The 14,634-nt window shown below is 38.9% G+C and overlaps 1 protein-coding gene across 1 annotated transcript in view; it reads right to left on the reverse strand.

The window, feature by feature from the left end:
* The window catches only part of UBR1 (ubiquitin protein ligase E3 component n-recognin 1), a 163,142-nt gene that overhangs the window by 24,548 nt on the left and 123,960 nt on the right, over nt 1–14,634 (reverse strand). Inside the window, exons 38-40 of the mRNA NM_174916.3 lie at nt 10,436–10,503; nt 9,273–9,423; nt 3,076–3,163 (exon numbers count right to left, since the gene is read on the reverse strand). Of these exons, the coding sequence (NP_777576.1) occupies nt 3,076–3,163; nt 9,273–9,423; nt 10,436–10,503 (307 nt within the window). The remainder of the gene's footprint in view (nt 1–3,075; nt 3,164–9,272; nt 9,424–10,435; nt 10,504–14,634) is intronic.

Below are 14,634 nucleotides of genomic sequence, written 5' to 3' on the forward strand. Positions count from 1 at the left end.
GTAAAGAAATGTGGAGAAAAAAAATTTATCAATAACTAACCAAAGCAACTTGTTAGCTAAAACAAAATTAATAATTTCCTGGTTTCTATATTAAGATTGACTAATGATGTGTGTGGCAGTTAAATTATTCTGTATGATACTGTAAAGCGAATCTTATGTAAACTATGAACTTGAGTTAATCATAATGTATTAATATTGGTTAGTCAATTGTAACAAATGGTACCTCCCTAATGCAAGGTATTAATAATACGGGAACTGGTAGGGGGAGGGAGCAAATGGCGACTCTTTATACTTTCTGCTCAATTTTTCTGTAAACCTAAAATGTCTCTAAAAAACAAAATCTATTAACTTAAAAAAAAAGAAAGACTGGTAAAGGTGACTGATGAGGGGAACTTGGCAGCAGATGTAGTTCAGCAGAGCATGCCTATCGTACTCCTACTATAACCTCTACACAAGGGTTAAATATATATAAGATTTTAAATATATATTATGAATATATATAAAAATTATATATGTAGTATGTACTGTTATACAATATATGTACATATTGTATGTTATGTATATATTACATGCATGTTAAAATACAAATGCCAATGTATTTTCCATATTACTCAATAAGGGCCTTAACCTGTAACTACATGCATGCACTGAGTGCATCAATTGTATGGATCACTGTAAAAGGACAACCTATTTTCTATTTTCTACATTTATTTTAATTCTAAATACTCCTTTTTTTAAAATCCAATCATCTTTTGTCTATGCTTCCAGAACAGTTTACAAAAGTAAAGATGTGTTGAACTTGTTTCAGTCTCAGAAACAAGTGGGTAGCTGTTATTCCAACCTACTATCTTTTACTTCAAAGTAAAATCATCAAAATAAATTTTCTTCACTGTAAACCTATCCTGTAGCAAACAAAGTCATGCTAAAAGCCCTTAACAGATTTTTTTTTTTTTTTTTAAATAGAGAGACAGGGTCTTGTAATGTTGCCCAGGGTGGTCTCAAACTCCTGGGCTCAAGCAATCCTCCTGCCTTGGCCTCTAAAAGTGTTCGGATTACAGGCATGAACCATTGCACCTAGCTTCATAACTGATTATTATTATTATTATTATGCACGTGCAGAACGTGCAGGTTTGTTATATAGGTATACATGTGTCATGGTGGAGGTTTGCTGCACCCAGCAACCCGTCATCTACATTAGGTATTTTTCCTAATGCTATCCCTCCCCTTTTCCCCCAGCCCCTGACAGGCCCTGGTGTGTGATGTTCCCCTCCCTGTGCCCATATGTTCTCATTGTTCAACTCCTACTTGTGAGAACATGCGGCATTTGGCTTTCTGTTCCTGTGTTAGTTTGCTGAGAATGATGGTTTCCAGCTTCATCCATATCCCTGCAAAAGACATGAACTCATTCTTTTTTATGGCTGTATGATATTCCATGGTGTGTATGTGCCACATTTGCTTTATCCAGTTTAACACTGATAGGCATTTGGGTTGGTTCCAAGTCTTTGCTACTGTGAATGGTGCTGCAATAAACATATGTGTGCATGTGTCTTTATAGTAGAATGATTTATAATCCTTTGGGTATATATCTAGTAATGGGATTGCTGGGTCAAAGGGTATTTCTAGTTCTAGATCCTTGAGGAATCGCCACACTGTCTTCCACAATTGTTGAACTAATTTACACTCCCACCAACAGTGTAAAAGTGTTCCTATTTCTCCACATCCTCTCCAGCACCTGTTGTTTCCTGACTTTTTAATGATTGCCATTCTAACTGGCATGAAATGGTATCCCATTGTGCTTTTGAGTTGCATTTCTCTAATGACCAGTGATGATGAGCTTTTTTACATGTTTGTTGGCCGCATAAATGTCTTCTTTTGAAAAGTGTCTGTTCATATCCTTCGCCCACTTTCTGATAGAGTTGTTTGCTTTTTTCTTGTAAATTTGTTTAAGTTCTTTGTAGATTCTGGATATTAGCCCTTTGTCAGATGGATAGATTGCAAAAATTTTTTCCTGTTCTGTAGGTTGCCTGTTCACTCTGATGATAGTTTCTTTTGCTGTGCAGAGGCTCTTTTGTTTAATTATATCCCATTTGTCAATTTTGGCTTTTGTTGCAATTGCTTTTGGTGTTTTAGTCATGAAGTCTTTGCCCATGCCTATGTCCTGAATGGCCCAAAAACTCCTTAAGCTGACAGGCAACTTCAGCAAAGTCTCAGGATACAAAATCAATGTGCAAAAATCACAAGCATCCCTATACACCAATAATAGACAAACAGGGAGCCAAATCATGAGCAAACTCTCATTCACAATTGCTACAAAGAGAATACCTAGGAATACAACTTAAAAGGGATGTGAAGGACTTCTTCAAGGAGAACTACAAACCACTGCTCAAGGAAATAAGAGAGTACACAAACAAATGGAAAAACATTCCATGTTCACAGACAGGAAGAATCAATGTCGTGAAAATGGTCGTACTGCTCAAAGTAATTTATAGATTCAATGCTATCCCCATCAAGCTACCACTGACTTTCTTCACAGAATTAGAAAAAACTACTTTAAATTTCACATGGAACCAAAAAAGAGCCCGTATAGCCAAGACAATCCTAAGCAAAAAGAACAAAGCTGGAGGTATCACGCTACCTGACTTCAGACTATACTACAAGGCCACAATAACCAAAACAGCATGGTACTGGTACCAAAACAGATATATAGACCAATGGAACAGAACAGAGGCCTCAGAAATAACACCACACATCTACAACCATGTGATCTTTGACAAACCTGACAAAAACAAGCAATGGGGAAAGGACTCCCTATTTAATAAATGGTGTTGGGAAAACTGTCTAGCCATATGCAGAAAACTGAAACTACACCCCTTCCTTACACCTTACATAAAAATTAACTCAAGATGGATTAAAGATTTAAATGTAAGACCTAAACCATAAAAACCCTACAAGAAAACCTAGGCAATAACTGATTATTTTTAACTGGAATTTAAATGATTCAAATGTTACGTTGCCAAACAACTGAACAAGAAATGGAATTATTACAATAGACTGAACTAATGGATTGTTACTCACCCACTTGTATATTGAGAAATTTCTGCAAAGAAAGAAGATGCGGAATGAGCCTCTTCACTGTCTTCTTGAACCTGAGCAAGGGGTAGGCCTGAAAAAGAAATTCTGCAAGATGAATTATGTATTTGCTATTCAGTTTACAAATTAGACTTTAATTTCATTGTTCCAAGACAATAAACAACGTAGATTCATTCAACTGAGGTTCTTTCCTTTTTTTTTTTTTGAGACAGAGTTTCGCTCTTGTTGCCCAGGCTGGAGAGCAATGGTGCGATCTTGGCTTGCTGCAACCTCCACCTCCCGGATTCAAGCAATTCTCCTGCCTCAGCTTCCCAACTAGCTGGGATTACAGGCGTATGCCACCATGCCCAGCTAATTTTGTATTTTTAGTGTGTTTCACCATGTTAGTCAGGCTGGTCTTGAAATCCTGACCTCAAGTGATCCACCTGCCTTGGCCTTCCAAAGTGCTGGAATTACAGACATAAGCCACCATGCCCAGCCCCACCTGTTTTTAATCTAAGTAGTTGATGCTGAATTTTAAAGTTGTTAGGTAAACTTTATCTATATATTAGCTGGAGAAACAAATAGGGCAGAATCACTAAACATGGATGTTTAATATTTACTTGCTAAACATGTAAATACTTACTTCATCATAATATGACCATGGAAATAAATTGTTATCAACCTGCTTTGGGTTCCTAGGAATCTAAGCCAGCAGATAGAAATTCAACCTCTAGAAAGGGAAGTAGGTGTCTGTCCTGCCTTCATGCTCAAGCAAAGGGTCCCATAAAGAGAACTTTGTGAGGTTATTTTCCTCCATCAACCTATCTTTAAGGAGGACCATCCTAAACCCTTCCAGCAACTGCCAACTCTCTCACTTACATTAAGGCTCTGGATAAGCTACATAAGTTCTCTGAACTTCAGAAATATTGTATTAAACTTGATATACAAATGTCTACCTTGTAGTTTGCTGTGAGGTATAGTTATAGCACATTTGAGTAGTGCTCTGTTGTTTTAAAAATGCTTTTGTTTATGTATTAATTCATCTGGAAGGTCAAGATTCAAGTTGCCCTCAGTAATTTTATCATATCTTGAATGAATACTGCTAGTCCTTTTCATTTTCCAAATAACATCTCTTTATTCCTATACTTTTAAAAAATGCATCATGAATTCATACTGATTTTTTCAATTCAAATGTAAGAGAGTTCAATAATTCTAAGGGATTCTTTATAAATTTGAGGTAAATTTTACATGCAATTAAGTGCACAAATATCAAGTGCTCTATCTGATGATGAGTTTGACAAATGCATACACCCACAAAATAAGATTTTTATTTTTTAATTAATACACTTTATTTTTTAAGAGAAGTTTTAGATTCACAGCAAAATTGAGCAGAAAGTACAGAGGATTCCCTCTGTCTCTATGCACACACAACATCCCCCACCTATCAACATTTGGCACCAGTGTTGTACGCTTGTTATAATCAATGAGCCTACATTGCCACACCATTATCACCCAAAGTCCACAGTTTACATTAGGGTTCATTCTTGGTGTTTACATTCTATGAGTTTGGACAAATGTGTAATAATGACATGCATGCACCATTGTAGTATTTTTCATAACAGTTTCACTGCCTTAAAAATCCTCTATGCTGTGCCTATTCAGCCCTCCCCCAACACCCTTACCCCTGGCAATCACTAATCCTTTCACTGACCCTATAGTTTTGTCTTCTCTAGCGTGTCATATAGTTGGATTTGTATAGTATACAACCTTTTCAAATTGACTTATTTTAGCTAGTAATAGGCATTTAGGTTTTGTCCATCTTTTCATCACTCGGTAACTCATTTCTTCTTTTTATTTTTTTTATTTTTTTGAGATGGAGTCTTGCTCTGTCACACAGACTGGAGTGTAGTGGTGCAGTCCTGGCTCACTGCAACCCCCGCCTCCTGGGTTCCAGCGATTCTCCTGCCTCAGCCTCCTGAGTAGCTGGGATTACAGGTGTGCACCACCATGCCTGGCTAATTTTTGTATTTATTTAGTGGAGATGGGATTTCACCATGCTGGCCAGGCTAGTCTTGAACTCCTGACCTCAGGTGATCCACCCGTCTTGTCCTCCCAAAGTGCTGAGATTACAGGTGTGAGTCACCGTGCCCGGCCGATAACTCATTTCTTTTTAGCACTGAATAATATTTCCACTCTCTGGATATACTGTAATTTATTTATCCACCCACCTATTGAAGGATGTCTTGGTTGCTTCCAAGTTTTGGCAATTATGAATAAAGCTGCTATAAACATCCTTGTGCACAGTTTTGTGTGAAGTTCAGTTTTTAATTCATTTGGGTAAATACAAGAAGCATGACTGCTGGATCATATGGTAAGAGTATATTTAGTTTTGTGATAAACTGTCAAACTGTCTTCCAAAGTGACTGTACCTTTTGCATCCCCATCAACAACAAATGAGAGTTCCTGTTGCTCCACATACTTGCCAGCATTTGGTGGTGTCAGTGTTTTAGATTTTGGCAATTCTAATAGGTGTATAGTGGTATCTCATTGTTTTAACTTGCAATTCCCTAATGGCATATAGATGTTGAACATTATGATCACTTACCATCTGTATATCTTCTGTGGTGAGGTGTCTTTTCAAGTGCTTTGCCCACTTTATTTTTTAGAGACGGGATCTTGCTATGTTGCCCAGGGTAGTCTCAAACTCCTGGGCTCAAGCAATCTTCCTGCCTTAGCCTCCTATAGTGTTGGGATTACAGGCATGAGCTATTGCACCTGGCTCATTGCCCCGTTTTTTTGAGACCAAGTCTTGTTCCGTTGCCAGGATGGAGTGCAGTGGCATGCTATCAGTTCACTGCAATCTATGCCTCCTGGGTTCAACTGATTCTTATCTCTCAGCTTCTCAAGTAGCTGGGACTACGGGTGTGCACACCATGCCAGGCTAATTTTTGTACATTTAGTACAGACAGGTTTTCCTCATGTTGGTCAGGGTGGTCTCAAACTCCCGGCTGAAGTGATCTGCCCACCTTGGCCTCCCAAAGGGCTGGGATTACAGGCATAAACCACAGCACCCGGCCTCATCGCTCATTTTTAAATTGGGTTGTTTTCTTATTGTTGAGTGTTAAGAGTTCTTTGTATACTTTGGATAACAGTCCTTTATCAGAAGTACTTTTTGCAATACTTTTTCCCAGAATGTGGCTTGTCTCTCATTCTCTTGACAGTGTCTTTCAGTGCATAAGTTTTTAATTTTATTATAATGAAGTCCAGCCTATCAATTATTTCTCTCACAGATTATGCCTTTGGTTTTGTATCTAAAAAGTCATCTCCATACCTAAGGTCATCTAGGTTTTCTATGTTAACTTGTAGGAGTTTTTTTTTTTTTTTTTTTTTGAGATGGAGTCTCGCACTCTCTCCCAGTCTGTAGTGCAGTGGAGCAATCTCGGCTCACTGCAAGCTCCACCTCCCGGGTTCACGCCATTCTCCTGCCTCAGCCTCCCAAGTAGCTGGGACTACAGGCACCCGCCACCACGCCCAGCTAATTTTTTGTATTTTTAGTAGAGACCGTGTTTCACCGTGTTAGCCAGGATGGTCTTGATCTCCTGACCTCGTGATCTACACGCCTCAGCCTCCCAAAGTGCAGGGATTACAGGCGTGAGCCACCGTGCCCAGCCATCTTGTAGGAGTTTTATAGTTTTGCATTTTACATTTAGGTCTATGATCTGCTTTGAATTAATTTTTGTGAAGGGTGTAAAGTCTGTGTCTATATTCATTTTATTGGACATGGGTGTCTACTTGTTCCAACACCATTTGTTGAAAAGACTACCTTTGATCCTTTGCTCAAATGTCAAAGATCAGTTGACTACAAATATGTGGATCTATATCTGGGCTCTCTTTCATATTTCATTGATCTATTTGTCTAATCTTTTGCCAACCACACTGTCTTTATTACTGTAGCTTTATAGTAAGTCCTAAGGTTGGGTAGTGTCAACCCTCCAAATTTCTTCTCCTCCAATACTGAGCTGGCTATTCTAGGACTTTTGTCTTTCCATATATACTTCATGTATTTATTTATGTACTTGTTTGTTTACTTATTACTTACTTTCTGGTTGATTGACAGGGTCTCACTCTGTTACCCGGCCTGGACTGCAGTGGTGCAATCCCAACTCACTGCAGCCTTGACTTCCTGGGCTACAGCAATCCTTACACATCAGCCTCCCAAACGGCTGGGACTATAGGCATGTGCCACCATGCCCAGCAAATTTTCCTATTTTTTTTTAGAGACAGAGTCTCACTATGCTGCCCAGGCTCAAATTCCTCCCAAAGGACTGGGATTACAGGCATGAGCCACTGGGCTTGGCTCACATAAACTTTAGAATCAGTTTGTTGATATCCACAATAATAACCTGCATGGATTTTTATCGGGAGGCTGGAGTGCAATGGCATGATCTCAGCTCACTGCAACCTCTGCCTCCTGGGTTCAAGCAATTCTCCTGCCTCAGCCTCCTGAGTAGCTGGGATTACAGACACCTGCCACCACGCTGGCTAATTATTGTATTTTTAGTAGAGACGGGGTTTCACAATGTTGGTCAGGCTGGTCTCGAACTCCTGACCTCAGGTGATCCACCTGCCTCAGCCTCCCAAAGTGCTGGGATTACAGGTGTGAGCCACCACCCGGCCTCTATTGTCTCTTTTATAAAACACATAAGCAAAAATGTATATAAACACATATATGCATAAAATACCTTACAGAAAAATGCTACACTATAGCCACTATTCTGTACCTTACTTTTTTAACTTATTGCATCATGGAGATCAATTCATATCAGATCTTGTTCATTCCTTTTTAAAACTGCATAGAATTTCATTATATGGTACATCATAGGTTATTCAAAGAATCTCCCATCGATGGACAGCTAAATTGTTTCTGTTTTTTTTGATATCCCAAGTAATATCACAATAAATAATGTCGTGCTTGTATCATTTCATATTTTTGCTGGTAAAGCTTTGGGATAAATTCCTAGAAATGGAGTTGGTGTACCACAGGGTAAATGCACATGTAATTTTGCCATATTTTATTCTGACATCACTTTAATTATGTTTGTTCTCTACATTATATGAATCTTCAGAAGCCCTTATTGGTCACTGATACCCAGGACCAGATTTTGCTTTGGGTTTTTTTTTTCTTCTTTTTTTAAGAGATGAGATCTTGTTCTGTTGCCCAGGCTGGAGTGCCATGGCGTAAAGGCACTCTGCATGGTGCAATCACAGCACTCTGCAGCCTCAAACTCCTGGGCTCAAGTGATCCTCCCACCTCAGCCTCTCAAGTAGCTGGGACTACAGGCACGCAGCAGCATGCCCAGCTAATTAAAAAAAAATTTTTTTGTAGAGATAGGGTCTCACCATCTTGTGCAGGCTGTTCTTGAACTTCTGAGCTTAAGGGATCCTCCTGCCTTGGCCTCCCAAAGTACTGGGATTACAAGCATGAACCACTGCACCCAGCCCCCAGACTTTGCTTCCTATTAAAAACCAGACTCCAAAAGAAAAACTGTATCATCATTCCATAATGTTGTATTACTAATGTATCTTCAAATGAACATTAATTCAAAAGACATTTAATGAGTGTTTACTGGGTTTAACAAGTGTTACCAGATACTTGCAGTTTTAGAGGGAAGATGTTGATATTTCATTGTTTCCTATCATCAAGAAACTTACACTGAGGACAAAGGAGCAGAGAGAGAGGAGAAACAGGGAAAGGAGCAGAACAACAGTAAGATATAACCAGAAATAACTATAAAACAAGATACTAATGATAAATGCTACAAGGGGAAGAAAGTACTATCATTCTAGCTGAAGGAATTAAGAATGGTTTTAGGGACCTCCTTATCAAAAGGTTGAAAAAACTCATGTAGGGACAGACCTCGAGGATGGGGAATTTGAAAAAGAGGGAAAAGCAGGTCCAAGTGGTCTCCCTGCATATCTGTAGAGCAGTTGATAATTAGGTAGTTTCACCTAATTATCTTTTTCACAGCTTATTCTACCTTTCCTTGTTTAAACAGTATCCATTAAAAAACAGATAATCATTCAACAAAAAACATAACACAGAACCTAGAAATACATTATATAATCACAAGAATAATTAATTTTGCCAGTAAAGCATGGCAAAATGTTATTCACAGTCAACACCCAGATGAAAACCTTACCTGTGTCTACTGTAAGTAGTATCTGAAGCATGTGTGCCATGGTGATCAAATGGAAGAGATAAAGGTGGTTATAGGAAGAACTAACTGAAGAAGGCTGCAGATCAACAGGGTCATCCCAATACAAGGATGGGAATGCTAACACAGCACCCACCTATGAGAGAAAAATGGACATCAATATGGCTAATGATAAAAGACTAACATAAATTAATGTCATAACTAAATGTGAAGGGCAGCAGATGCTACACAGTGTTTGTGTGTGTGTTTTTTAATAAAAACCATATTTTTCTTATTTATTCAATAGAATATCTTAGAATATAATGTACCATAAATGGAGGACGATGATCACCACCAAATAGGTTATCCCTTTGCTGTGTCTACTTATTGTAGGTCTAGGTAGTGGTTCTGAACTCTGGCTCAAAGATTCAACATTACAGGAGTTCTTAAAACAATACTGACACAGAGGCCCTACCCTAGTCCAACCAAATGAGAATCTCTTGGGGTAGGGCCTAGTTAATAGCATTCTTTTCAAAGTTCCCCAGGAGATTCCAAAAGACAGTCAGGGTTGATGACCACTGGGTAGAGGCCTAGATAATGAGGGGGATGAGGATGTTGGCTACCCCTGCATCCATAAACTCCATGCTCCCAATCTCAATACTGCTTTCTCTACGGAACTTGGTTTGAAGGAATGAGATCATCACAGGAATGGAAAATCTCTACAAAAAACTAAGGGCAGTTGCCATCCATCCATAGGTGTTTTGAGGAAGCCTAGATACACCCATGGTCTGGTCCTCATCACCAAATAATTAATGATTTTAAGAGAGCTCACACAGTCATTGACTGCATATCATATATACAACTTAAGAAAAAGGCCAGAAGAGGAGCATAATATGAATTAGAAAAGGCTTGTCTGTACAGACACCCACTAATGTAATCAACCAGGACAAGACCTATTACAAATTGAAGTGCTTTTTTTTTTTTTTTTTAATGATTTTGACAGTCTCCATCAAATCTGTACCTATTTGTAAACAATGGACAGGAGAGACCAAACTTTATAGATTAAACACAAAGAATTTATAATCTTGAACAAAGGGCATGAATTTAAATGAGGAAAATACAAGAAATTATCAACATGAGTGACTTAAACAAAATTACTGAACACTTACCAAAACATGAAACAGATCTATAGACAGAAGGCATGGTGTATCTTCTGATTTTATGTTAGGAAGAACAACTAAAACAAACAAAAAGTTAATGTAATTCAGTCAGTAAGATAGCAGTGTAGGTAAATAAAATGCAAGCTAAAAACACCTAAACCAAACATATAACAGGGTTATAAAATACAGAAACTAATACATCACACCTTTGAGATATGAAAACCATAATGAGAGACAAACTGAACTGAGAAAAGGCTGCTAGAAAGCCTTGGATACAGTTTAAGGGTTAAAAGGTAAAATCTAGGTGGAAATGGCACGTGAACTAGGACAACTGAAATATAGAGATTGTTAAAGAAACATTTGTTGAATGAATGAGAAGAGTTACTTTTATACAATGTTCCCTTTATCACTTGTTTTCTGACTTCCATTTCTAAACGTTCTGTGATACATAATATGTGAACAAAATTGGGGTTGTGAGTGGGAAGAACATGCAAAACAGAGTAGGTAAAATGAGGATGGAGAAGATCATCCTGAACAAAATTAGATAATGGTTTATATAGATTGTTCATCTGGAGGAAATGCAAACAGCTCAAAAGCTACTTAATCTTTCTAATCTGGTCCGTGCCTAAGGAAAAGCTGTAATTCCAAAAGTGAGAGCAAGAGTGGCAAAGAAGTGAAATTAATAAGTCAGGACAAGAGGAATGGTTTTGTTTATATAAAAATGAAGGAATTATTGTAGGTCTAGGTATTGGTTCTGAACTCTGGCTCAGAAGATTCAACATCACATAAATAAAGCTGTTATTTTTAAAAATGAGGGAGAAGACTCTTTTCAGACTAGGTAAATTTCTTTTCTTTTCTTTTCTTTTTTTTTTTTTTTAGACAGAATCTTGCTCTCTCATCCAGGCAGGAGTGCAGTGGCATGATGTCGGCTCACCGCAACCTCCGCCTCCCAGGTTCAAGTGATTCTTGTGTCTCAGCCTCCTGAGTAGCTGGGATTGCAGGCACGCGCCACCACGCCCGGCTTTTTTTTTTTTTTTTTTTTCGAGATGGAGTCTCGCTTTATTGCCAGGCTGGAGTGCAGTGGTACAATCTTGGCTCACTGTAATCTCTGCCTCCCGGGTTCAAGCGATTCTCTTGCCTCAGCCTCCCGAGTAGCTGGGACCACAGGCACGTGCCACCATGCCCAGCTAATTTTTGTATTTTTAGTAGAGATGGTGTTTCACCATGTTGGCCAGGATGGTCTCGATCTCTTGACCTCGTGATCCACCTGCCTTGGCCTCCCAAAATGCTGGGATTACAGGCATGAGCCACTGTGCCCAACCAATTTTTTCTTTTTTTCTTTTTTTTTTTTTTAGTAGAGATGGGGTTTCACAATGTTGACCAGGCTCGAACTTCTGACCTCAGGTGATGTGTCTGCCTCGGCCTCCCAAAGTGCTGGGATTACAAGCATGAGTCACCACGCCTGGCCATGTAACTAGATCAATTTCTTAACCTCAAATTCCAAGATTCTAAACAAAAAGCATAAAGGTTAAGATCAGGGGCTTTGAAGTCAGACTAAAATGGCTTCCAGTATTGGCTGTGACTACTGGTCATGGGCAAGTGACAGGCGACTTAACTTCTCTAAGTTTACATGCAGTATATGCAAGTTTGTTGGGAGGTTCATTAACAAATTAATTTATTATTTATGTATTTTATTTTGAGATGGAGTCTCACTCTGTCCCCCAGGCTGGAGTACAGTGGTGCAATCTCGGCTCACTACAACCTCCGCCTCCTCGGTTCAAGCAATCCTCCTGCCTCAGCCTCCCAAGTAGCTGAAATTACAGGCACCTGCCACAATGCCCAGCTAATTTTTTTATTTTTTATTTTTAGTAGAGATGGGGTTTTGCCACGTTGGCCAGGCTGGTCTTGAACTCCTCGCCTCAAGAGGTCCACCTCCCCTGGCTTCTCAAAGTGCTGGGATTACAGGTGTGAGCCACTGCTCCAGGTCAACATATGAATTTAAAGCACTTATCCAAGCTTGGCATATGTAACCACTCTATAAATGTTATTAATATTGGCTACATAAAACAAACTAAAGTGATCATAGGGCTCTGACATTAACTAGCTATGTGACTTCAACAAGTCATTTGCTGTTTCTAGGTCCCATTTCCTCAAATTATCTTTTAGTAATATTTCTGATATTTCAGTTAGCATGTCTATGATACTACCTATCTTATTTTTTTCTCAATGTTACAGCTTACTCAAAATATTTAAATAATTCCTGATCCCTCGTCCTAATTTCCATCATCTTTTCAGCCAAAAGAATACTCTTTGTGTCATCAAATTTTTCTTACAGGCAGTTTAAAATGATTTTTCTTTCCCTGATTGCTAAAAATATTTAAAATTCTGTTGAAATCAAAAGTCAATTTTGGTATGCATATTTTCATTTTAACTATGGGTTAAGCCAACCCTTTATGCACAATTAAACACCTCGGCAAAGTTTACATGATATAGTGGGAAAATCATGGGCTTTATGGTCAGGCCTGGGTTTAAATATTAGTTCTACTTCTTATTGGTTTTATTACCATGGGCAAGTCATGCAACTTCCCTGTGCCTCAGTTTTCTCGTAAATCGGGAGAATAATTTCCTTGAAGGATGGTGACTAGAAATTAGATTTTATTTAAAAATTCTAGGACAAGGCATAGCACATGGCAGTGAGCATTGTATGTCCTATCTATCTATCCATCCATCCATCCATCCATCCATCCATCCATTTAGAGACAAAGTCTCTCTCTGTTGCCCAGGCTGGAGTGCAGTAGTACAATCATGGCTTACTGCAGCCACGACCTCCTGGGTGCAAGTGATACTCCCAACTCAGCCTCCCGAGTAGCCAGTACTACAGTTGTGCACCACCACACCCGGCTAAGTTTTTTGTGGAGACGGGGTTTCACCATGTTGCCCAGGCTGGTCTCGAACTCCTGAGCTCAAATGATCTGCTCACCTTGGCTTCCTAAAGTTCTGGGATTACAGGTGTAAGCCATTACACCCGGCCTGTCCTATTGCTACTGCAGAAATCAACATATTAAAACAATACTCATCACTTTACATAGAAAATAGCTCCTATTCTGGACTTCCTTATTTCTCTCAATTTTTCTGCTATTCATTTTAGTTCAAAATCTTGCCCCTGACCCAGCCCACCCCAACGTCTTCCCTAATTCCTGCTATCACATTCAGATGCATATGTTACCTCTAATTTTTCCCTCCTTCAATCCAACCTATTCAATATCAAATTAAGCTCAGAATACTATTGTCCACAACGTTTCAAAAAATTCCGATTACCTAAAGAATAAAGTTCAAACTTATGCCTGGGGCATTTAAGCCACTGTAATTTTATTAAAAAAAACCTTCATGCTTTTCTAACTATAGATGCCACTACTCCTATCAAACCTATCTACTTGAACACATCACGCACTTTCCTACCTCCTCAATCTTTGTTCAAATGTGCCCTGTGTCTTTTGGAATGCAGCTTCTGTTCCTCTCAATTTATCTATTATGTGTACTCCCTTCAAGGCTCAGTTCAAATCCTACCCTGTTAGAGGAGATAACAGCAGAGTCCCAAAGCGATTTCTTTCTTGCCTCAATTTTTTTTTTCTTTTTTGAGATGGAATCTCGCTCTGTCGCCCATGTTGGAGTGCAGTGTGGCAATCTCAGCTCACTGCAAGCTCTGCCTCCTGGGTTCACGCCATTCTCCTGCCTCAGCCTCCCGAGTAGCTGGGACTACAGGCGCCCGCCACCACGCCTGGCTAATTTTTTGTATTTTTTAGTAGAGACAGGGTTTTACCATGTTAGCCAGGATGGTCTCGACCTCCTGACCTCGTGATCCGCCGCACCCAGCCACTTGTCTCAATATTTGAAGCATGTATTAGTGAAGCACATATCTGGCATTTGGCTATTTTATGTTTGTTTTTATAGAAGTTCTGCTTAATTCAATCATAAGCATTAAAATGGCAAGGAACATATCTGATAGCCCTAACATCTTACAAATAAAAATGCACCTCTAATAAATGTTCATATGAAAAACTTTCATATATAGGCATAAAGCTACACTACATAAATTCCTCCAGTATTGCTAATTAGAGATTATACACCATCATTTTAGTCTCTACCATCTGTGATAATGTTAGTCTCCTTCTTTGGTGCTTTTTTTGAGACAAGGTCTCACTATACTG

Source organism: Homo sapiens, chromosome 15 (genome assembly GCF_000001405.40).
Source record: "Homo sapiens chromosome 15, GRCh38.p14 Primary Assembly".
NCBI lineage: Eukaryota > Metazoa > Chordata > Mammalia > Primates > Hominidae > Homo > Homo sapiens.